Here is a 26,429-nt window from a genome sequence, read left to right as displayed (position 1 = left end):
TATAAAATTAGATCACTCTTTTTTAATCAATTTCTACTACTACTATTTTATGAAGCAAAATCTAAGGGGAAAAGATCTTATCCTTCTCTATGATTCTACTTATATTTTTTTCTTATGAAAAATGTCATATTTGGGCTTTATATTTATATATTAGTATACATAATTTTACCGAGAGTAGACTTTGCTATAGAGAGATTTTTATATTTATCTGCACTCAATTGGTCAATGAATTCTCTATTGGGATCATATGCGTAATCAGAAATTAATTTTAATGCAGCCTCTTTGGGGCTTTTAAATATAAAGACAATATTTATAGAGTTGGAATTTAATCTATTTCTTTTTTATTTTAAAAAGACTCTAAATCTCACATATAATCCCTTTCATAATGCAAGCTTTGAAAACAGCTTTTAAGCAATACTTTCATTTTTCCCTTACTTTTTCCAACCACAAGAATGTTGCCCACATTTCTTTAAACAAATCTCTCAGCCATTCAACTTGACAACTTGTAGATATTTTTAAATTATACTAGAGTATATATTACATTGTCAAAAAACAGTTGTCACTAAATGGAATAAAAGACTTAGAAAGGAGATTAAACCTCTCAAGATTCTGAAAATAGTTAACTGTGATGATACATAAAAAATAGCCATCAAAGTCTTTGTTTTACAACTGCAGTAATAAAAACTTGTATATATATCCACAGCTCATCCTAGCTACAAAGTCACACTCTTGGGCATTAGGTAGCTATTGAGAATAGTGATTAAGTAAGCTTCCAAATCATTAGGCACAGTCCAAAATCTTACCTTAGTTTAAGTAAACTTTACTACGTAATATCTTTGCCTAATAATCCGTTCCTCATATACAGGAAAAAAGTCAATCAGTCCTTCTGTAGAGAATGAATAATGTATTTCCTAAAGCCAAAAAAAAGACATTCTTCCACTTCTCCATATCATCTTGGAGAACAATTTACGCTCAACTACACAGGAAAACTATTCTTTCTGAGATGACCTCAGTTGTGACCACTTTTTTCCTTTATGGGTCATATACCAGACACAGTAGCTGGTTAGGTAATCATTATTTTGCCTCAATTTAATTTCTCATGTGTATGCATATTTTAGCATTGCCTGTGTGTCAAGACTTTTTCATGTATTGAAAGAAATACTACTTAGCTGAATAAAAAGTGACTCCTTCTTCCAAAGATCTTCACGTTTATTTGGGGAGATGAAATGAATAAGCAATACAGGGTTGCGGTTAAAAATATGGGCTATGAAGTGAAAAAAACTTGTCTCTAGAATTAAAAATCTTTGACGATGAAACCCAGTAATCTGCTTCAAGCGTTTTAAACTCAATAAAGTTACAGGGTCTTGATTTGGGAGAATTCAAGGGATACCCTTTCATTTACTGCAAACTTATAAATTTATTAAGGTCCAGCTTTAGCACAAGTAATTTATGGGGCTCTTTGCAAACAGAGTTAAATCTAGTAGTTTCAGACTACTAATTTTTCTAACCTTAGCCTTTGGCAGCACTATTGGCATTAAACAGGTATACAATAAGCTAAATTTGTTAAATAATGTTAATAAATAATATCGCTTCACAGAAAATAACTGTGGATTTAACTGAGTTAGAACCAGACTAGCTATAAAACCCTGAGATAGAAATGATCTTTTCTAGCAGAGGCATTACAATGATAATAGTTTCATGTCACCAGTTACACATTAGCTTTATACTGTGATACATAATTGGGTATCCTTTCATCTTGTTCTTCAAAATTTTCTAACCTTTTCTTGGGCCTTTGCCTTTCCTTTTGAATTTTAAATTGGTATGTTAAGTTCAAGCTTTTATTCTTTTTGCTTAGCATTTTTCCTATTCTCTTACTTCTTTCTGTATCTATTTAATTTTATTGCCATACAGACCTCAACCCCAGTTTAGGTGAGTATATTTCAAAGAAAAGTCACATACTATTTTCATGACCTTCTTTCTAGTAATGCTTGTACAAGAAGATGACAAAATTCTATGATAAGTAATTTTCAATATGAAAAATAAAACCATCATTAATTGCAGACATCAGAACTATTCCCTTTTGCTCCTCAAGTATGGATAATTACAGTTGACCACCACAGAATTCCAAAATTGGAGTTTTAGAATTCCAAACTTTTAGAGTTCCAAAATGAGATATTTATGGACTTGCAAGTCATCAAAGCTTAAGTCAATCTGTGGTGTGTCTAACGGGTACTTTGAAGTGTATCAACTAAGCTAAAATGCTACTAGAGATAATACACCAAAGTTATTCTGAGAAGTAATGATAAGCTCTAGCCAAAGCCACACTGTTTGCTTGCATCTTTCAGTGTGTGACAACAGATAGAGCTTAAAATAATTTTACAAGGACAATGGCATTTGCTAAATGCTTGCTACCAAGTCTTTGAAATTTCTCATTTTCTGTTATTCACTTACTCTTTACACATTGGGAAGTAATTGAAAGATTTCTATTAAATAGATAATACATAAATCTTTCAGAAATGTCCTAACTTTGAATCTAAAAAGTGAGAATAAAATGTATTTTATATAGAAAAATAATCCATATGCAATCATAGCTTAAGAGAAGAATATTTAAGACAAGGGAGATGTCTTGAAGCAAACCTTATAAAGTGAGCAAACAACAAAAATGTATTCAGATGACAATTCTACTGAATCATTATATAACTATATATTATTACATTACTATATAATTTCCATATATTTAATATATGTGTTTATGTGTATGCTGGATACTATACCACTGACTTATGTAAGGAACTATATAAAATGAAGCTTTCTATTCTGTAAATCATTATACAAATATGAGGTACTGGTATCGTCATTTTATTGAAGATTTTATACAGAACATAAGCATTTTTTTTTCTTGAGACGGAGTCTTGTTCTGTCACCCAGGCGCGATCTCAGCTCACTGCAACCTCCACCTCCTGGGTTCAAGCGATTCTCCTGCCTCAGCCTCCTGAGTAGCTGGGTAACTCCCGAGTAACTGCTACTGGTAATAAGCCAGTAGAGCCAGGAAGACAAAGGGAAAATATGTTAATTGAGCACAGAATACTTTATCCAAATTGCCCTCTAACATGTGTGTACAGTATCTACAAACGTACACAGATACTACGCACACTGTTTTACACCTTGCTTTTTTAACTCAACTTTTTAAACTTCAGCTTATTTTTATTTGCTCAAAAACTGTTCATAATAATACATATTGTTCCATTATACAGACAGACGAAGATATATTGACTCCATTTCCTGCTGATGAACATTTAGCTTGCTCTTAATGCTTTAATAATTTACTTCAAATATACTTCATTTTACACATTTGTGAGTATATCTATGGGATAAATTTATAGAAATGGAATTGATAGGTCAGAGGGTATAACCATTCCCTTTAGAAGGGAATAACCCTACAGACGTCCTATCGAAGGCCTTTTCTAGGAATACATACAAATAGGCAATCTACAGGAGAATGAGAATGCATACATCGAGACAGAGAAAAAGGGGTACAGAGGTTATTTAGCAACTAACCCTGTACTCCATATAGAACCCCCTCACATATTAAGAATATGACACTTGCAGGCATTATGTCACCCCAGAATGCTGGCACACAAATGAAGGTCAATTAACTCTGCGTATAGTGTCCTTAACTTTAGGACCAAGAGCAAATACACACAAAACTGATGTTTTCTACAAACAAGTATTGGAAACCGAGGAAATAGGAAACAGAGTAACCAATTAAAGCAAAACATGAATTAACAACCTCGTGTAGATCCTGAGTACCTTATAAGGCCTTTTTTTTTTCTTTTAACTTAGCACCTTAGATGGCTTTTTCAACTCAAGAAATATTGCCAAGGCAATGGAAAGCACAGGGTTAGGCAAAACACTTGTGAGTCAGGTATTTATTTATACATATAAGGAAGAAATTGAGACAGAAGAGGAAGAGCATGGCCAGCCACGGGACATCAAATCACCACTGGCAAGGTAACTACATAGCAGAAGTGGTGAGCTGAGAAAGACCAATTTATCTGTGAACTATACTAAGCTTAGAGGGAAGTGGGTGTGCCCTAAAGAAGATTAGATGAATTCCTAACATGTTTTTAAAGTAGAATAATGTGAGTCACTCAGAGGGAGTAAACAGGCACTTTATATCTGATGTCTTTTGGTTCACCCCTTTATTTCCTCTCTTATCTTCCCTTAGAAAAATGTCATGAAAACAATCCAATTCCTTACCTCTTTCTAAATTGAAAATTGGATGTATATGAACTTTCTATGGAATCTACTAAAACATCGGCAATATCTCTCCAATTTCCTGTTGTAGACCTCTAAGAGGGTGAAGCAAAATGAAAGTATTTCATCTAATTCCTATCTTCCTGCTAGTAAATAAATTTATGTTCAGAGTATTTTTTCCTTCTAGTCTTAAAGACTTCTTTATAAAAATGTCAGGACAAATGGATTTCAAAAGTAAAGGCTTAGAGTTTGGAATGAATGTTGGATGGCAATCCATTTGAGTGGTAGGTATGGGCTCTTCTGAATTAAGTAGCCTGGGTTCAAATCCTGAATCAGTTATTGATGAGTAACCTTGTGTAAGTTACTCAAACTTCCATTTCTTTATTAAGAAAACAAAAGTGCTCGAGCACACACAAAAAAGTGTGAAAGAACAGAGTACAGTTGGCATCAAGAAAATCAGGGTAAAATTAAAAGTGTCATAAAAGCACCCTCAATGACTAGATGTTAAGACATATCAACTACGATAATGGTGAGAGACTTGATGATAGATAAGGATGGGAACAGGCCTTTTTTTGGTAAAAAGTAAACAACCAAAAGATTACTTAATAGGACTGTACTTACCAGGAGTGAGAAGAGATGGCAAACACTGACATTTTCTCAACAGTAGTCCTGAATGACTCTGGTATAGAAAATGTCCACAATGTAGGAGTGCAGTCACCTGCATAAAGTACTAGGAAACTACAAGACCAACCAACCAACATGAGAAGAAGTCTAGAAAGGAGTCTGAATATAATTCTGGCAAACAGGTGGTAATAAAATGCATCAGTCAGATCTCCTATCTCACATAATCTACATTGTTACAGTCAGTTCAGTATACATAATTTACCCTTTCAGAAGACAAAATGTGTTAGACAGAATAATGGCTTCCCAAAGATGTCCCTGTCCTAATCCCCAGAACCTATGAATATGTTACATTAACATGCAGAAGGGAATTTAGGGTACCAGATGGAATTAAGGCTGCTAATTAGATGATCTTAAAATAGGAAGATTATCCTAGATTATCCAGTGGGCCTACTGTAATCACAAGGGCCCTCAAATGTGGAAGAGGGAGAAAGAAGAGTCACTGTTAGGATGATATGATGTGAGACAGACCCCTTAGTCACTGTTGCCTTTGAAGACAAAAACAATGCAAGTCAAGGAATGCAGGTAGTCTCCAGAAACTGGAAATCGCAAGAGAAATGATTCTCCCCAAGAATCTTCAGAAAGGAAGGTCGACCCGTTAATTTTAGCCTAGTGAAGCCCATTTCAGACCTGTAACCTCCAAAACTGTAAAATAATAAATTTGGGGGGTTGGGGGTGCAGTTTGGCCACTAAGTTGGTAATTTGTTACAGCAGCAATAGGAAACTAATACACAGGTAAATAATTTTTGGAAAACTTTTATGAAAATGTTATAGTAAGCATTTTTTTAAATTGAGGTATTTGATGTCAATTTACCTAGCAAATTCAGTTATTCAGAATTAACCATGTTCTGGGGTTTCTGGGATAACTGAAGTTTTACCACTAACTTTAGATATATATTTTTTTTTCCTTAAGCCCTAAGATCATTAACAGTTAAGTGTAAAACCTAGATGTTACAATGTTAATTAATATAACCACAAAATAATTCACATGCAATTTCAAATACCTTAAATCCCTTGAATATTCAGGTTGAAAAAGGTGGGGGGGGCCTAATGTCAGAAGGAGTGCTAGGGTTGAACATATTAAGTAAAAATTTTAAGTAATATATATAACACTAACGTTAAAAAATTTAATATCCCTGGTGTTTTTGCACCACTTACCGTAGATTTAGCTTTATATTTTAAAAAATACTTCAAGCTATAGAAGAGGTATTGTGAAAATCAAGAACTCCTATGAATAAAAATATCTTCTATTGATGATAGCAAATTTAATTTGTATTTAATATTAGATAGATAATTAAGCCACATTAAAATATTTCCCTAAAGAGTATTAGGAAAAAGAATCTGTTTGGAACTTCTTGAAAATAATAAATTCCAAAGATTTCCTAATAGCTTTTGTTTGATAACAATTTAAGAAGTGAATGTGAAGAGGAGAAAAAAACTACTTAATATGCTTCTCTAGATAAGTTTACCTTCTTTTTTATACTGTTACTTCCAATGAGCAACTATTCCGCTTGGAAGAGAAGTGAGGTTGTGTGTATATAGATGTGTGGGGCCGGGTGGGGTAAGGTAGGCGGTAAGGTTTAAATGGGATATAGTAAGGAACAAAGCATTTTCTACTCCAGGAGAAATTAATAACCAGGGACAGTACTGACAATGCAATATCATTTGGGTCAGAATATTTTAAAAATCCATCATAACGTTCAGTTCTATGAGGATATCCTCTTCCCAAAGCAAGCATCATAAATGGTCAAAACAAATTTTATATCCATCATTTGTATAATATGCACAAAAGTGGAAAACAAATATTTATAAATACTACTGAACTGAGTTACAACCTCACAGCTTTTTGCATTATATAATCAATAGCTCCACTTAAGACAAATAGAATAGACAATAGTCTAGGAGTTGTTACAAAATGTCATGAAATAAGACATATTTCAAAAAACACTTTTATAAAAATATACTTTTGAAGGCTGCTCAGTTGTCAATGATTTAACAGGACAAGAAAAAACAATATTGGGAAAAAATATCAGGCCATAAGAAATTAGATGAAAAATACATCTAACTACCATGACCTTAACAAATAGGCTTACACAAGTGTGAAATGCACACAACAATAAGAGAACAACTAGACTAGGGCAGTTTGTTTTATTCAGCACCCAGCCATCTCAACAATCATCTACTAAAAAATGACTATAAAAATGAAAGATGATCGTGCTTCCTGTCTAGGAAATATTATTCAAAATTGGAATACAGTGCTCTTAAGAAGAAACAGTGACCTCCAACCTTAAGAATATCTTCTTAGGAAGGGGCTATCAGCCACAAAATGCCAAAAGTACAATAATCTGATGTTGTGATCTGAGCAACATTCTTTCTCATAATTTTTCCATTTTTGGTATGTGTGTCAGGCACTGAGTAAGAGAAATGATCCTTTTTTCCCCCGGAAAAACATACACAAACAATGAAACCACTGTGTGTTGAGAGAGATACCACAAATAGGCAAAGCAAATATTATTTGGGCTTCTAAAAAGATATTATATGAGTACATGGTTAACAAAAGATGCTGACATATTAGAGTTGTAAAAATTTAAAGGAGCAGGCTCCATCATTTGTGATGTAAAAAATGGTTTCAAGAGTTTTATTGCTACATTAGAGTTATAAATAAGCCTGAAGAAAATCACAGACATTCGAACTATATTTTTAAAAATATTTATATGCTTAATTTAGGCAAACTATCAAATTGAGGCTTAACTTTTTAAAGTAAACTAACTACAAAATAGGAATTCCTAACTTATGAGTAAATAAACCTATAGAGTTGAAGTAACTTCCTCATAGCCAGTAAGTGATGAAGTCAGGTTTGAACTCTGATATTTCTGATTGGTCTCATTAACCAGAAAAACAAGCCTATGCTGTTGCCAAAGTAGCCTTTTCTTCTGCTGGATTTAACCATGGCAAGGTATTGCTAATCTTTGCATCAAGAGATTCATCAATAAATCTCATGCACATACTTCCCAAAACAGAGGTTACCTAAGCAGTAGCAAAAGCTGACAAGATATTAGCCGGGCATGGTGGTACATGCCTGTAATTCCAGCTACTCGGGAGGCTGAGGCATGAGAATCACTTGAGCCTGAGAGGCGGAGGTTGTAGTGAGCTGAGATTATGCCACTGCACTCCAGCCTGGGCAGCAGAGTGAGTGAATTCATCCTTAATTAAATAAAGGACTAGATTTCATACAGAGAATGCCTCAAAACAGACCCTCTACAAATCAGAATAAATTAGCATGCCATCACAGTGTGGTGGTGGAGATGCGCAGCTCCTAGTCATAATGCCTGGCCAGTGCCAGCTTCACTGCTTACTCAATGTATCTCTATAAAATTGGGAAAATAAGAATATGTACCGCTCTTGAGCCACTTGCTTGAGCCCACTCCCACACTGTGGAGTGTATTTTTGCTTCAATAAATCTATGCTTTTGTCTTCAAAACACAACAAAAAAGAATATGTACCTATATGGGTGGAATGGTGGCCCCCCAAAGAGATGTGTCCATATCCCAATACCCAGACCATATGAATGTAACCTATTTGGGAAAAGGGTCTTTGCAGATGTAATTAAGTTTAAAATCTTGAGATGGGATCATCCTAGATTATACTCAGGTAGACCCTAAATCCAATGACGAATGTCCTTATAAGAAACAAAAGAGGAGAGGACACAGACAGACTAAGAGGAAGAGACAAGCTGACCAAGGAGGCAGAGACTGGAGTGGTGCAACTGCAAGGAATGCCAAAATGATCACAAGTGTTGGTGAGGATGTGAGGAAAAGGAAACCCTTAGCGTACTGCTAGTGGGAATGTAAACTAGTACAACCATTATGGAAAACTGTGGAGGTTCCTTAAAAAATTAGAAATAGAACTACCATATGATCCGACAATCCCACTCTTGGGTATATATCCAAAGGAAATGAAGTCAGCATACTGAAGAGATATCTGTATTCCCATAATATGGAATCAACCTAAGTGTCCATCAATAAATGCAAGGATAAAGAAAACACACACACACACACACACACACACACACACACACACACACACACACACACACACAGTGGAATACTATTCAGCCTTAAAAATGAGGAAATCCTGTCATTTGTGAAAACATGTATGAACCTGGAGGACATTATGTTAAGTGAAATAAGCCACACACAGACAAATACCGCATGATCTCCTATGTGGAATCTAACAAAGTTGAACTCATAGAGGCACAGAATAGAATGGTGGTCACTGATGGAGGTGGGCTGGGGAGATGTTGGTCAAAGGATATGAAATTTCAGTTAGGTAGGAGGAATAAGTTCAGAAGACATTGTAAAAGATGGTGATTATACTTAACAACAATGTAGTATATTCTTGATAATTGCTGAGAGAATAGATATTAAGTGCTCACACCCCAAAAAATTGGTAAATGTGGGATAATACATATGTTAATTAGCTAGATTTTGCCATCCCATAGTGTATACATATTTCAAAACATTATGTTGTACATGATAAACATATACAACTTTTATTCATAAATTTAAAAAATTAGAAATAATTAAAAAAAAAACTGACAACAGTCACCTGAAGATGGAGGAAGCAAAGAAGGATTCTCCTAGAGGGAATGTGATCCTGCCAGCACCTTGATTTGGGACTTGCCTCCAGAACTGGGAGAGAATAAATTTCTGTTGTTTTAAATCCCCTAGTTTGTGGTAATTTATACAGTAGTCACAGGAAACTAGTATCGTACCCAAAAAGAGTTTTAAAAGGATCTGATAAAACAGTGTAGTATGCAAAGCACCTTCATCCGAGTAATGACTACTAATGAATGAAAATATATGAGGGGCTGACCAGTCTGTCCACTTTTGCATTTTCCCAGGGTGGTAAACATCACATATGTCTTTCCTCCTTGTGAAATGAATTACAAAAATGTATTTAGTGCCCCAGTAAGTATATTTTTTAAATTAGTAATTATAACCATTAAACTTTGTTTTTAGGAAACAATTTTGTTTTAATAATTTTTCTCATTTATTTTACTAATTTAGCTACAGCTAAATTTACCAGGAACCATGGAAAAGTAGCATTCGCTCCTATTAAATAGATGAAATAACAGGAATTAGAGATTACTGGAAGTAGCTGAAATTATAAAAATAGGGTGGATCATTTAATAAAGAAAAAAGATTCATTTTCCAACAAGTGAAATATTGCTTGTGTAGGACAGTATACACTATTGAAGCACAACAATTTCTTCTTCTAACCCAAAGAGACACTTTAGCCACTCGAGCAGTCCATAGAATCTACTGATTAGGAAGAGATCCAAACCTCCTCTTACCTAGAAGGTAAGATGTATCACTGAAACCTTCTCTGCAGGGTTATGGCCTACCAAAAACTAGCAGGCAAATGAGAAAAAAATGTACCCCTTAATAAACATAATAAATGTAATCTCCCTTTAAGGCCCAATATACAGACTTCCATCTTGTGTTGGAGAGCAAAGAGGGACCACTTACTTACTTACTTACTTTATTTATTTATTTATTTATTTATTTGACAGTTTCACTCTATCCCCCAGGCTGGAGTGCAATGGCATGATCTCGGCTCACTGCAACCTCTGCCTCCCAGGTTCAAGCAATTCTCATGCCTCAGCCTCCCAAGTAGCTGGGATTACAGATGTGTGCCACTACACCTGGCTAATTTTTGTATTTTTAGTAGAGACGGAGTTTCACCATGTTGGCCAAGCTGGTCTCAAACTCCTGACCTCAGGTGATCTGCCCACCTCAGCCTTCCAAAGTGCTGGGATTACACGCATGAGCCACCATGCCCAGCCGGGCCTCTTACTTTAAATTCCCATCTCCCCGACTCCATTCACTTTTTCAGAACAGTAGATAAAAGACACAAAGAAACAGGAAGCCGGAGAGAATAGCAGGCTCTGGCCAGGGCACCTGCCACACCTGAGGACAGAAGGTGAAGTGAAACTTGGAGACCATGATTCTGTTAAAGCAGTTTATTCCATCCATCAGTAAATGTGACCTAATGTAGATCAAATGAAGACCAATCAGTAAAGAGACTCCCAGGGGAGGCGCTGGATGACAGAAGCTGTGTCCTCCATCAGCCCCCTCCAGCTGGGCAGAGAAGATGTATATGGAAGTTCTGTTCTCACCATGGGCAGAAGCAGTAGAAAGGAGAATGAATTACCTCACTTCTCAACTGGTAATGGACAAAACAAGGGGCTGGGTATATAATTTAAAATTTAAACCTGGGGATGTTAAGTTATGGCTCCCTGCAGAGGGCTATGGCATGTGGGGCTGCCCCCACAAAACTGTCCTTGCCAATCTGTGGCTAGGACTTCAGTGTAATTTTATTTAGCATCACAAACTTATGCTTATCAGCTTCATTTATTTCTATACTTTGGTTTCCTAATTCTTGATAGAAGCACTTTTAGAAAATTTTCATCCGTTGGGTGCAATACTCAGTTTAAAACATATTTTAGCACCCATCAAGTGGTAAGTTTGCAGAAAATGCCAGGGCATACTACTGAAAGCCAAAGAGGAATGGCCTTTGGCCTTAGGGAACTTTCAGTCCAGTGGCAGGTGTGAATGAGGTTTTACATGGACGACATTTTTTTTTCCTAAGGCCAAGACATTGGAAAATTGGGAAGTGGTGTATGTTAGGAGATACTAAGTATCCTACATCCCTAAAGAGAGAAAGTGTAATGGCATAAGAGGTTCCAGCTCTGACCTTCTTAGAGAAACCAGGAAGCTGGGGATCTCACCAGCCCACATGAATTTGCCTCAAACAGTTTTAGACATACGAAGGAAGATGAAGTATACACGCAGATGGTACATGGTTCTCCCAGAAGTTTGTATCGTTCTGATGACCTCTCTCATACTGACTTCTGTTACAGGTTTTGACTTAGCTGTCATACTACAGCAAACACTCCTGAAAGGCGAGTACTCTGTATCTTTTTCTTTTTGTAACTGCACAACAATTAATGCAGACTCATACCAACCAAAAGCTGACAAATAAGTTTTAAATGAATGAGTATATTTGTGTTGCTAATGGGAGGCAAGAAAAGGGAAATACTAAACAAAAGGAGCAGAACAGGTTTTAAATAGAAGGTAAGCAATGGAAAAGAGACAATAACAATAAGACATGGATCAGCACAGCTGCTCAAAAGAAAGTCACTCAACCAGTTTTAGGACTTTCAACACTCATCACTGGAACTCTCATTCCTCCACCCCAATTCTCTCCTAGTGCCCAGGCCTTCATTAGTTCCCACCTACACTTGTGAAACAGTCTCCTCTAACTGGTCTCTTTTTTCTCTCCCTACACATATTACACAGCCAGAATACCTGTGTTTTTCATCCTGGCTGTGTGACGTTAGACAAATTATTTAGGCACTGCTCCTCTACTTCCTCATCTTTATTAAAAGAATAATAGGCTGGGTGCGGTGGCTCACTCCTGTAATCCAAGCACTTCGGGAGGCCGAGGCGGGCGGATCACGAGGTCAGGAGATCGAGACCATCCTGGCTAACACAGTGAAACCCCATCTCTACTAAAAATTCAAAAAAATTAGCCGGGCATGGTGGCAGACTACTCAGGAGGCTGAGGCAGGAGAATGGCGTGTGAACCCGGGAGGCAGAGCTTGCAATGAGCCGAGATCGCGCCACTGCACTCCAGCCTGGGCGACAGAGCGAGACTCCATCTCAAAAAAAAAAAAAAAAGAAGAATAGTAGCATCTATGCCTCACAGAGTTCTTGAAAGGATTAAGTGAGTTACATGTAAAGCATTTAAAAGAATGTCTGACACACATTACCTGCTCTATAAGTATTATTATTAGTAGTATTATTATATATTTTATTATTGCCTTACAAAAAACTCTTCCACAGTTTCCCATTAACTTAGAAATGAAATTCAAAATTTTACTCACGGCAGCCAAGACATTTTATAATCTGAACCCTCCCAACCCTCTAACCATCTCCCAACTCTTCCTGTCCCCTCAAAAAATCTGTATTTTTGCCCCACTGAACTACTGACAAGTTCTCAGAACTGAGTGCACCTTTGCTTAAGCTGTGCTCTCTGCCTAGAATGGCCTCTTTCCTCCTACTATCAACCACCTAGCAAATTCTATATTTAAGTTTTAATTCATGCAATATCTCCTGGAACATGTTGACTCCTCTACACTCCTTTCTCTCTGTTCCAGTTGCTACTTGTACATACCTACATTCTGAGAATCGTCCACCTGTATTATAAATATTGTCACTTTATATGTCTGTTTCTTTCCATTAAGAGCTTCTTGAACTGAGAGATGCATTTCTTTTATCTACCTATTCCCTAATCCTACCGTAGACCTGGCATACCACTGTAGTTAAATAAATGCCTACAGAAGAGAGGAAGAAAAGAAATGAGGAAAAGACAGTGTTTTTTTTCCTTCATATATCATGGCCTCTGTGGCCCCAATCCTCTTCTGCATTCTTCCATTTCCCATATAAGTCCTCTTTAGCCGACAAGTTCAGCCTAAAGCACATGTAACAGTTTTTCTACACTGCAAATGAATTCGGGGTATGAATTACATATTATAAATAGACACATATATATTATACATAGACACATATAAGTACTCTTGGGGAACTCTGTTCATCTTGTTACTTATTCACGTATTACTAAGGTTTGTACAATCGTTTCAAGCTTCTTTTCCTAATCTATGCTTGATCCCAACCTCCAGTCCAGCTCATCTCATCTGATTCCTGGGAAAACTGAGTACTTGTACTGACTTATTACTTGCCCTGTCTTTTAATCATGGAATCCCTCTAAACTAGGATCTCTCTTCTTGAAGATCCCAGCAAACTTTATCACTGTCCTTAGTTTTAAAAATTCTTCCTTTTCATAATCTCAAACTTCCAGTGACTAAACAATGCTACTCTGCTCTCTCCTACCATCATCATTCATCCCAATCTGTCATTACATCAACACTTTTCCAATTTCTTTAATTCAGTTACATAAGGTTTATTCAAGCTCTACATATGTACAGTTGAGAGAGGACATTTTGGCACCCTAGAATCAAGTGGAGGGATTTTGAGGCTCTAAAGAAAGAAAGAAATTCAGGAAAATAAACAACTTAAAGAAAGTATAAGAAAAGGTTACAGAAAATGGAAAACATGCTGGTTTCTTTAATAGTTATGGTATTTGCTATAAACCAATTTACCACTAAATCCAGAATTTCCCAATCTCAGCATAAGATACTGACAGATGAGATACCTAAAAGAACATTGTAATTAGTCCACAAAATAGATGGAGAAAGCAGCAGAGCAAGGTCAACAGGGTGGAAAGGTTAAGACCACAGTTTAATACCAATCTGTTCTTCCTTCCCTCCTCCACCACACTACTCCAATTCCTGTGTCACTACTGTGACAGAGTTGTCACAGAGCTGTCACAGTAGGCAATCTTTTACACAAATCAAAATGAAAGTTTGAATCATAAATAAAGATAAAGGGCTCTGCTGGTTAATAGCTGGAGTTGCTTCAAACTCTAAAATGCTATGAATTTATGAAGTCTGTTCTCAATACTCAAACTTAACCATGCATTGTAATTCAACTAAAAAACTGTTTCACAGATGAAGATCATATTAAAGCTACTTTAATTAGTATTCAGAGAATGCACACACTGGAGCTGCTAAGGAAACGAATGAGGTAATACTGATACTGGAATATTTTGTAAGGTACTAATAAAGCAAAAATTTTCAAAGAATTTTAAAATATGTGATCCCTGTTAATACTCTTAACAGGGTTGACTCCTTGCTAGAAGTTTCCACGGCATTTGAAATGACTGGAATATCAAACAAATGTCTTCATAACTGCCCCTTTCTCTGTCTCCTATGAAATAAATTTAATGGCGAAAATTCTTACTGTGTTGTATTTGGAAAAGCAAAACAACTTTTAGAGAAGAAGTATTTATAATTACTGAGCAATAAAAATACTTTAAAATTTCTGTACTTAAAAAGATGTGTGCAGACAAATCATTACATTAAGAGAGAAATCTGAGATTGAACTCTGGCTTATTTACTTACAAGTTGTGTGACTCTGAAGTACTTACTTAACTCTCTGTAAAGTAGGATGATAATATCTGCCATAATAAGTTGCTATTAAGATTACACGACTAATGAACATAAAGTTCCTACCTCAGTAACTTCTTAGAGGTAACAATTTAAAGTGTTTAAGTTCCTTTTTCTTTAATATGCTTTACTTACTAAATTCCTACTATGCACTAAAAAACAAGCTGCTTCCCTAACAACTTGAACACTTTTTCTCTCATATCTCAGAAGAAATACTATTATCTAAAGTTCTTGGAATCAAGAATATTGTTATAATTTATTTATTTAAATCCTCTTCAAATGTAAAATTTTTCTTTCAAAACATAAAAATACTTTTCTGTTTTAAGAATAATTTGTGTACCAGAAATTCTCAGGATAAGAAAACATTCTGGACTAATAAATAACCTATTATTTCAAAGCCTAATTCCAGTAAAACAAAAGAATCTGGAAAGTCCCTCACATTCATTGTAACAGGAAAAAGTGCTATAAACTTCAGCCAGAACAGCCAAGATAAAGGCAGACTTGACTGTAAGAGAGGTATTTGAATGCAGGATTATTCCCTGTGAATTTTACTGTGATGTGGAAATGAACCCTTACTATATTACCCAAGAAATTAAAAGTTCATAAACAAACAAAAAAAATGAATGAAAGACCATTTTTCATCCGCATTTCAATTTCAGAGAAAGAGTATTAACAGGGATCACGGCAGGTAAAAAGAAGTTATTAGGTAGGACTAGTAACATTTGAAAACCTATTTTAAAGCTGACTTACAATGAAAATGCAGGCTTTAAAATACATTAAACAAAAGAATTTGACAGTGTAAATACTCTGCCGTGTTTTGCATGGCCAATCACTCCCATGTACTTTTCAACTCACATAAAGCCTAAGCTATTTCAGTCTTTGAGACTATAATAGCAACAACAGCCACTGGAAAACAGTTGGGAATGACTTGAATTTCAATCCTTTCAAAAATTCCTTGAGCTATGGACAAAAATGTTTATCTGGAACTCTAAGGAGACTGCTGCCATTAACTAAAGGACAATGACCAGCTTGTCACTATTTACCTCACTAATAACTTGTAAATGATTTCTAAATTTATCAGGCAACAGTAGCAAAAATTGCCATATTTATAAAAGTGGCATACTCTACAACTCAAAGCAATAAATATATATTTGGTATCTTCTATGACTACATCTAAGCCATGGTGGTAGGCACTGGAGTAGGTAATAAATAAATACATATTGTTTCTGCTTTTGAAGGGTTGGGTATGACTCTGTTACCACTTAATTTGTGAGCATGCCACATTTTATTCAGCTACTCCTTTTCATCCAGGAAATATTGAGTACTTCTCATTTTAAAACTGAAATTAAGCTATTTTTATTTTTAAAATGACAATAAAGGTGAAGTTAACTTGGTGGAATCCAATGTCATAGAATCAGGCTCCTTTTAATCTGCTAATACACAGATGTGGCCAGGAGAATCTTCTCATGTTACTCCTTCAGCTGTCTTCCGGCCTGGGATTTTCTATCTCTGCTACACTCCTCACCCTCATGCTGTCTCTCCTCAGTCTCTCCCTTCCTGCGAGTGTCTCTGCTTCCCTGTCTCTACCTCCAGATGGCTTAAAATATTTTTGGTCTGTGCGTCCCAACTCATATAAAGCTATACCTGAGGCAGCTGGAGGTAACTAGCACACAGTTTTAAGTTTTTACCAGTGATCCATGAATGAAGTCTGCATAAATCTTCAATATATTTGGATTTTTAAATAAATGTAGATTATTGCATATCAAAGTAGAAAATCTACATCTTCATTTAAAACTGCAATACAATACTTATAAAATCTCCAGCCACTAAAAATACAATTATTATCTTAATGTGGTGGGGGAAGGGTTGTCCATAAAACACTTGACATTAAAAAAAAAAAAAAAAAAAAAGAGGACCTTATGTAAGGTTAGAAGCCAGTGCCCAGCACTGTGAGCTCCACAGCAGGTATGAGAACTTCCTTTCTATCCCCAGCTATCCACACAGCAAGTGTTTAATTAGTATATGCTGAAACACGAATCTTAAACATTTTCGTTCAAGATATAAGCATAATGACTAGGACCTGGGTCTCTCTCCACCACCATGCTGTGATGCCATACTAATTTCCTCTACTCTATTCCTAGTCTGTTTTGAGACATATATACAAAGGCTAATGAACAGGTGGCTACAGGTGAAAGTGGGAGGTTCAGGCAAGGAAGGCGTCTTTTTGATCTGGATAATGGGGTGAATGGTGGGGCCGTTCACCAAGTGCAGCAGCAGGAGACACAAATTTGTGAGACAAGGCATAGAACTTAGTTTTGCCCACATTGAACTTGCAGAATCTGTAATACATCTTAGTGAGAAACAGTTTCAGTAACATGACAGGAGCAAAGCCAGACTTCAGTGAGCAGAAGAGCAAGAGGAAGGTGAAAGGGGCAGAACACTGAGCCTGGGCCTAAGCAGGCTAAAATCCTGAGATACTTCTGACTCTTCCCTCATTCTACATCTATCCAGAACACGACTGTGGCTTACAGAAGTACTGCTCAGTTCTCACTTCTCTAATTTCTCCTGCTTTCTATTTCAAGCCGTCACTAAGCCAGGTTACTGCAATACTTGCCTGACTAGTCTCCCTGCCTCTGGTCTCTCTCCACCTCTTTCCAAGCAGTCTTACAAAATATGGTCCTGAAAATGTCACTTTTCTGATAAAGCTTTCAATAATACCTCAGTGTCTAAGACCCTGCAAGGCTTAGTATTCTGACTTCACTTTTCTTTCATTCTTATCTCTATTTCCAGTTGGTCAACATTTGCTTGGGGATTTGTCATCTCCATACTACTTCAAGAGGATATTCCTCCATCTGAATATGAAACAGAGAGAGGGAAGTCAGGGAAGTCAAGTAGTTACCCGACTACCTACCTGACTTCCCTCGCTGTTTCTCCCTCTTTCCCTCAGTCACACCCATTTTGTTGCCAAGAAACAAAACAAATATGATATTCTTGAAGTACTTTACAATGGATTCCATACTAATACTTATCAACTGAGGAGGGAAATAGGAAGAAAGGAGAGAAAACTTATCCTTATTATGTCCTAGGCTCTTTACATATGCTATTTCATTTAACCTCATTCTTCAAAGCCTAGCCCAGGTTTCTGCATCTCCACAAAGGCTTTCCATTAGAATGGGATCTTTAACTCTCCTTTGAACCCCTGTAGCATATTCTATCTCTCCCGATCTCAATAAAGAGATTATAAATTCTTTAAGGGCAAAGATTATAAATCTCTTTATGTCCACCTCTTATGGCTGCTAGTCATAATGTAAATCTGAAGGAAAAGTCCAAATTTTTAAATTTAATGAACATTATGAAATTTTAAACCTCAGTAATAAATGGTAGTCCTGAGGAAGGGTTTTAAAAGAAAATTTATTCTAAAAGTATCAGAAAAACATGTTCCAAAAGTTAGTAATTTTACTTGATTTTAATATGTTACTCAGAAAATTACTTTAAAGGGAATATACATGAATATAAAATGAGAGAAAAAACTCACATTTTTGTTTGTCTTTCTGACTTAACCCACAGTAAAGAAGAACTACATTTGCATCGTTCCTCTAAGATGAACACGAGGAGTTAGCAGAATAAACAAGACTAGGTGTGTACTGGTTTCTCTTTGCTGCCACTATCTTTCCTGCCAGATGGGCCATAAATTATTGGTTTAGACAATAATTTTGAACCAAAGCAGTAATTAGCTGGCAGTAAACATGTTTGCATCCTCTATACTCTTCGAAAAAGCTTTAATTACATCTACATGATCCAAAATCACTCATTTGACTAAGCAATCCTCTCTTCTAAATCTTGCATCATTATCTTTCTGACTTTGTCAGGTAATGACCTACTGATTTCCCTCTCTCAGTTTCTCCCTCTTTCCCTCAGCCACACCCATTTTTGTTGCCAAGAAACAAAACAAATATGGTCCTCTAGAAGTACTTTACAATGGATACCGTACTAATACTCACTTATTAACTGAAGAGAGAAATAGGAAGAGAGAAAACTCATCTTTATTATGTCCTAGGTTCTTTACATAGGCTATTTCATTCAACCTGTGTAAAAGCCCTAGAAGGCAGGTACAAGTGGTTAACTGAAACTCAGTTACATAACCTGCCTAAGGTCACATAGCCAGGAAATGGTGAAACCAGGATTTGGATCAAGTTTGCCTAATTTCAAAGCCAATGCTGGTGCCATTCACCTTCTTTACATCTCTATTTCATGGACCTTAAAAATTCTACATATTAAAATTTCATTTTGCAAAGACTATTTTAGGTGTGATCCAAAAAAATTTTTAAAGATTTAAAACTAAACAGATCTTTAAACATATTATTCCTGGGATTGCTTTCCCAAAGGAGTATAGATTGAAGTAAGTTTTCCTTCAGAGAAATAAATAAGACTTTCATATGTTAAAAAAAAACTTTCAAGATGTAAAGTCAAAGTGAAGAATTTCACAATACAAAATACATCCTAACCAACCCATATTTATCAGATCTGTTTATTGTCAAACTGCCACAGACTATTCAGAATTAAATTGTGCCTTCAAGTCCATTTCCAACAATCTTTAAGGCCTACTGAATTGAAGAAAAAGAGATATATAAGATAAATACTTATTTTCTATGTCTGCTGATTGATTTGTTGATTGACAATTATGGTCTCTTCCAGTGTGCGTGATGTTGACGAAACAGTCCCTAAAACATATTTTCTTTTTTTGAGACAGAGTCTCACTCTGTCGCCCAGTCTGGAGTGCAGTGGTGCGATCTCAGCTCACTGCAACCTCTGCCTCCCGGGCTCAAGTAATTCTCCTGTCTCACCCTCCCCAATAGCTGGAATACAGACGCGTACCACCGCATCCTACTAAATATTTTTCTGTATTTTTAGTAGAGACGGGGTTTCACCATGTTGGTCAGGCTGGTCTTGAACTCCTGACCTCAAATGATCTGCCCACCACGGCCTCCCAAAGTTCTGGAATTACAGGCATTGAGCCACAGTGCCTGGCCCCTAAAACTGTTGGAGGCCAAAAGAGTGAGGGTTGTGATCAACTCAGTATACCACTGAAGGCTATATGAGTAAGCAGCAAACTGTCATAAATGCAGAATATTGGCAAACTGACAAACTGCGTCTGCCACCCGGAAGGATTGCTGAGGGCAGTCACGACCCAGGCGCAAGTGTTTCTTATGATTAGGCATAACTGAAGCCTGTTAGTAACAATATGAACCTGTGATGGATTAAGCAGCTGACTAATTGTTACCTCCTCCTCCCTGCCCTTGTTACCCAATAAATACCAAGGGCTGTAGAAGCTTAGGCGGCTGCCTTTGCTCACCAGAAGCAGGGAGCCCTTTTCTTCTTCTCTCTTCTTCCCCATGCTAGCCTTTCCTTTAAAATAGTTACTTTTGTCTAAAGTTTTCATTTCTACGTTCGTCCGTCCCTTCATTCAGTCTCATAATGATGGTCTAAAGGAGTAACAGTAGTAACTGTTGGAATGATGGCTCAAGTAGTAACAGTAGTAACTGCTGTAATGATGATCTCAAGTAGTAGTTGTGGCAGTCAGCCACATAAAACATATTTTTTAAAAAATTCCAGAATTTTTAGTTACTCACAGAATGCATACATAGAAGCATAGGAATGAACTAGCAAATATAGTCAATAGGGTTATAAATTTGGAAGAAAAAAATAAAAGATGACTTTCTGGCTTAGGATGGGAAACCATATACACAAGTCAGTATCCAAACGAATGTTTCTATCTAGTGGCCCATTAACCTATAAGCTTTCCCCCCCTTTTTCCTTTCACTCTAACATATAGGATCTTTTTAAAGCACACAGAAAATAATTTAGGTATAATTTTTATTACAGAATACTGACAGGGGAGAGTAAAAAATGAAAAGTACTTTTTAACAGAGATGCAGTTGCTCATAAGTAGAGGAAGAGTGACCCCTATTATGCATCTATCCCATCTTATCAAATATCTACTAGGAGACTAGTCATTAAGTCCTTTGCCACAGCAAAGAAAGTAAGGAGGGCATAAGCTATGAACTGATCTGAGTTTGTTAGGCAAATCACACAAACTCTCTAGGCCAGGCTTGTCCAACCCACGGCCCACAGGCTGCATGTGGCCCAGGATGGCTTTGAATGCAGCCCAACACAAATTTGTAAACTTTCTTAAAACATTATGAGGTTTTTTTGTGACTACTTTAAGCTCATCAGCTATCGCTAGTATTAGCATATTGTATGTGTGGCCCAAAACAACTCCTCTTCCAACGTGGCCCAAGGAAGCCAAAAGATTGGATACCTCTAAGGCATTATATATTCACCTGAAATAGGCTAACTTCTTCCTCAATGGATTGATATAAGGATTTAATGATATATGTAAGAAAAAAAAAATTCACAAAGCATGTCAATACATGTTTGTCCTCTTTCCCACTCCTAAGCAGCATTTCTAATTTTAATGATGGATGGGGGACATAATCAATCAGACTTAGTCCTTCTGAAAAACTGTCATCCTCCAACCTAAGAATTAAAAACAAATAAGCAAAGAAGAAGTAGTAAAAGCTAAACTGAAGAATAAACACTAGAAAAGTACGTGAAATACCAAAGAAGAAAAAAAAAGTAACTTCAAATGGGATGATGTGAAACTCCAATTATTAAAAGAAAAAAAATCTAACTAAATATCTTTTAATTCACATGAACTGAAATGTCCCAGATAGAGAACTGAAAACTTCGATTGAAAAAAGTACTTTCTAAACTCCTGCCTCTATTCTATTGGTGAAAGAAACAGCAGAGTTGAACCCATAAAGCTAACAGTAATGGGATATTAAACAACCCATTAAAATGAGACAAAAGATGGCTAATAGCTTCAGTCTGGTACAACAGCTACTTCTTCTTTTCTCTTATAATCCAATGTACCTATTAAATTACTCCAATCTGTCATTCATTAGCAGCAGTATTTGGACCTCTGGCAATCTTTTTGTTGTTTGAAGGATGAAGAAGAAGGGGAAGGCAGAAAGAGTAGTACATCAATATTTTTCAAAACTCAATTCTTCTAGGTCTTTCACTTCTAATCATAACAAGTTAGACAGTAAATGAAGTTTGAAGAATAAGAAACAAAAATTTTAAAAAACCACAGACATGCCACTACTAGTAATATAAAAACAAGGAAGAGTAGAAAAACTATATATATATATATATATATATATATATATATATATTCTGTGATTCCAAGAGGATTAATTTAACAACATAAAATAAGAATAAAAATATATAGTACTGTATTTTCTGATGAATAAATGATGCTTGCATACCCATCTGACCTACCTTTCACCTTAAAGTGAGCAGAACAGTACAAGTCACTTTGTTAACCTGGCACAGTTTAAGATAACTCCAATGAAGAAAGTCCAATTTCCTGATTCTCTCAGCCAAAATAAGCAAACTTAAGTTGGTTTGATCTAATAGCAAGCTCTAGGGAACTTATCCATTTACAGTTGAAAAACCAGAACAAGAACCACTATTTTTATTACAAAAAGGGAATTTAGAAATCACCCATGACCTCATTTTATAGTCAAGAAAATTAAGGCCCAGTAGTTTAGCCACTAGCCCTAAATCATACAATAAGCATGTAACAAGTTTATCTATGTCCTACTATGTAGCTAACTACTGAAATAAATGGAACAGTTAAACACCTTTTTCATAGAAACCAGTTCTAATACAGTTAATAGTTTAATTAGACATCGAAGCTTTTGAAAGTAATTTTCTTCTTGTATCAACTGAAATAATGTAATTTTAAAAAATGATCCACTTTGATTTGGATCAAAATCATAGGCAAACACATTTGACATTTAAAAATAAGCACTGTTATTTGCCTGACTTCCCCAAGAGTAAAAATAATTTTAAATAGAATTTTTTATAGTTCAGTTGCAGTACTCCTAGAATTAGTTTCACGGCCAGGAAAAAAATATGTTTTTTCCAATTTTTTCAACGATAAAAGACAAATCAAAATAAAACCATTCACACTTTTATGTTCATTAGAAACACAGAGTATACTGAGTCAAGTCTTATTTTTTAGGATGTCATAGAAAGAAAATGTGTTTGCTTTATTATATGCCCCCAAATTAAAGTAGACATAAATAACAGTTACAAAACCACCAGACTCAAGCAAGTATCTTTATCTTACTTTTTCTTATCTAAATCCTATTTTAAGATATTGAGGTTGGGCCTAAAAATGAAACCAAATTTTGAATATACACGTATATTTTCTTAAAAATTAGTGGATATATAAGAATAATATTCAATGCAAAAAAATTAACAAAACAAAATTACTGGTAATTTTCTTTTCAAAAACAAAAACTGGGTTTCGTTCTCTCCTTGGGAATTCTTAGGTGGAGGAGAGCAGAATTTGGGCAGCAGTGGTCCTCATCCAGTGTTTCTACAGTGCTAGCAGGAAAAGGCAGCGCCACCACTATTGAGTTGGGGGAGACCTGGTCTGCTCCTTCCTCTGGCCTTCCTTTCCGTGACTGTAAGTTATTTCTCTCCAAAACGCTGCTCTAGATCCCTGGCCAACCAGCTATAACTTTCCGGAGCTTTCTCGCAATGTTTTCATAGGCCCTGGAAAACTTAAATTTGATTGCAAACAAGGCAATGACCCACAAGGCCCTACAAGTTCTCGCCACTTCTACTCCCTTCCTGCTACCTCTCTGACCTTACTTCTAACCAGTCTGCCTTCACTCACTCTGTTTGGCTATACCAGCCTCCCTGACAGAGGGCCACCACACTGGCTCTTCGCTCTGCTTTGGATACTCATGCAATTCCCTGGGAAACTGCAGTTTAAAATAGGGTGGTAAGGAAAGCCACAGTGAGAAGGTTATTGGATATCTGGGCATGAGTACCCCAAGTGAGAAGGTGCTCCCTCACATGCTTTATTTTTCCCTATAATATTCCGTGTAATATATCCACACGAGATATATTACATATTCTGCTTACTTGTTTATTATCTGTCTCAGTCCTCTAAAATGTCAGTACTATGAAAGCAGAGATTTTTGTTTGGTTTGTTCACTGCTATGTCCCCAAAATCTATAACAGTGCCCGGCACATAGTAAGAGTTCAGAAAATATTAGTGAAATAGATAAATGATTCCTACTTTGGGAAATAATACTGGTGCCTATCAAAAACAGACTACTATACAAGATGCTATCAAATACAAATAGAGTAAAAAAAAACATGGTTTTTGCTCTTAAAGAGTCTTCTTGGAGAACCACGACTAATATACACGGAATAATTAGTAAATAACATAGGCAGTGCTAGGTATGACTATTAGCTAATTAGGTTTATTTGTATAAGACTCGTGGAATTGCCCTTGTTATTCCTGATTATACCTAGTGTATAATTAAACGCTGAACTGAATGGCATAAACTATTTCATACAAGTTCAGAAGGGGAAAAAGGAGTGAGGTGCGATAGTAGGAACAGACTGTGGGCAGGAGACACTCGATTTGGGTTTAGTGGATGTGAAGGCATGCACTGGCAGTGAACAGGTGGTGGGCATTTCAGATGAAATGAATTTCATGAGAGGGCATAAAGGCAAGAGAAGGATGGTGAGAAACCTATCCTAAATGGAAGAAAGGGCATTCAGTGATGAGTGGTGGTGATCTGGAGAGGACAATGTGAGGAGGACTCGATTACAAAGAACACGACCTTCTGAGCAGAGGGATTAGTCTGGATAGAATCCCATAGCACGTGCTGTTGTCTGTGCCCAGCTTAGATCTCCTGGAACCCTTCTAATGGTTTGGTACACCAATTCCCCAGGTGTTTCTTCCATTGCTTCTAATGGTTCACACCAGTAACTTTCTTTGGAAGCAATATAAGCTACCTCCTAGCCCTCTTCTCTGTTTACTCACACAACATACTTCCAGGGCAGCTGACAGCTAATAACTAACAAATACAAGGAAGGGGGTACAAAAGCCCAGTTTCATTGCCTCAAGGCAAGACAGACTCACTCTGTAGTGCAATTTTGTTCCCAAGTTTCCTGCTGGATCAAGTGAAGCTGGATATCCCCTGAAATCACACCTTTGCTCATCTCAGTTTCTTCTGCTTCCCAATCCTGTTTCACTCACTGCTTTCCTTAAAGGAATCCCTTACTGTATCACTTGCACAAGAATCCCCATCTCAGACTCTGCTCTAGGAAATTGGACTAAGACAAGTCTGTAAATGATAGTAGTATATATTCATGCAGAAAACTTCAAGTTTATGAAGGGAAGAGTTCACTGAAAAAGTACTCTTGTAGGTAACTTAGTTTGGAAGAATTCAGAGTAATCTGGTTGGTGAGAAGTGGAATGAAGAACTGACCAGAGGACAATTAAGAATGCTGTTCAGGGCCACGCGTGGTGACTCATGCCTGTAATACCAGCACTTTGGGAGGACAAGGCGGGCAGATCACGGGGTCAAGAGATCAAGACCATCCTGGCCAACATGGTGAAACCCTGTCTCTACTAAAAATACAAAAATTAGCTGGGCGTGGTGATGCGTGCCTTTAGTCTCAGCTACTTGGGAGGCTGAGGCAGGAGAATTGCTTGAACCTGGGACGTGGAGGGTGCAGTGAGCTGAGATTGTGCCATTGCACTTCAGCCCGGGTGACAGTGTGAGACTCTGTCTCAAAAAAAAAAAAAAAAAAAAAAAAAAAAGAATGCTGTTCAGGCCGGGCGCAATGGCTCATGCCTGTAATTCCAGCACTTTGGGAGGCCGAGGCAGGTGGATCACTTGAGGTCAGGAGCTCGAGACCAGCCTGGACAACATGACGAAACTCCATCTCTACTGAAAATACAAAAAAATCAGCCAGGAATGGTGACATGCGCCTGTAATCCCAGCAACTCGGGAGGCTGAGGTAGGGGAATCCCTTGAACCTGGGAGGTGGAGGTTGCAGTGAGCTGAGATGGTGCCAACTGCACTCCAGCCTGGGCGACAGAGCGAGATTCAGTCTCAAAAAAAAAAAGAAAGAAAGAAATGCTGTTCAAACTTGGAAAACATACTTACTTTGATATAAGAGAGAAAACTTAAGGAGAGAATGGTCCTGGTATAGAAAAGAATCAAAGATAACTCTTCAAAGTTGTATTTTTTTCCTTAAAAGGCAAAAGTATTTCTTCAGTAGCACTGTCAATGTTATACTACGAATTTTGTTAACCACACACTCTATCAAAACAGGCTGACATTACCTAACACAAGAACTGCTCAAAAACTTGAAGAGAACGCCAATGAATAATAATGGGACTCTAAAATACTCCCTAATAGTTTGGGTCCTTGAATGTCTATTATTTAGAAATATGAAGATATGATTAAGTAGTATA

The 26,429-nt window shown here is 36.6% G+C and overlaps 1 protein-coding gene across 8 annotated transcripts in view, besides 2 other annotated features; it reads right to left on the bottom strand.

Annotated features, from left to right (window-relative positions):
- PDLIM5 (PDZ and LIM domain 5) overlaps positions 1-26,429 on the bottom strand; it is a 216,282-nt gene that overhangs the window by 115,408 nt on the left and 74,445 nt on the right. The gene's annotated exons all lie outside the window — the stretch shown is intronic.
- Positions 16,630-17,553: an enhancer, noted in NCBI's record as "H3K27ac-H3K4me1 hESC enhancer chr4:95456414-95457337 (GRCh37/hg19 assembly coordinates)". NCBI's record gives its function as "activates a minimal SCP1, AML or CMV promoter by ChIP-STARR-seq in primed H9 embryonic stem cells {active_cell/tissue: H9 hESC(primed)}" and the evidence as "EXISTENCE:reporter gene assay evidence [ECO:0000049][PMID:30033119]".
- Positions 17,554-18,478: an enhancer, noted in NCBI's record as "NANOG-H3K27ac-H3K4me1 hESC enhancer chr4:95455489-95456413 (GRCh37/hg19 assembly coordinates)". NCBI's record gives its function as "activates a minimal SCP1, AML or CMV promoter by ChIP-STARR-seq in primed H9 embryonic stem cells {active_cell/tissue: H9 hESC(primed)}" and the evidence as "EXISTENCE:reporter gene assay evidence [ECO:0000049][PMID:30033119]".

This window comes from Homo sapiens, chromosome 4 (genome assembly GCF_000001405.40).
Source record: "Homo sapiens chromosome 4, GRCh38.p14 Primary Assembly".
NCBI lineage: Eukaryota > Metazoa > Chordata > Mammalia > Primates > Hominidae > Homo > Homo sapiens.
This window is presented reverse-complemented; position numbering and strand designations above follow the sequence as displayed.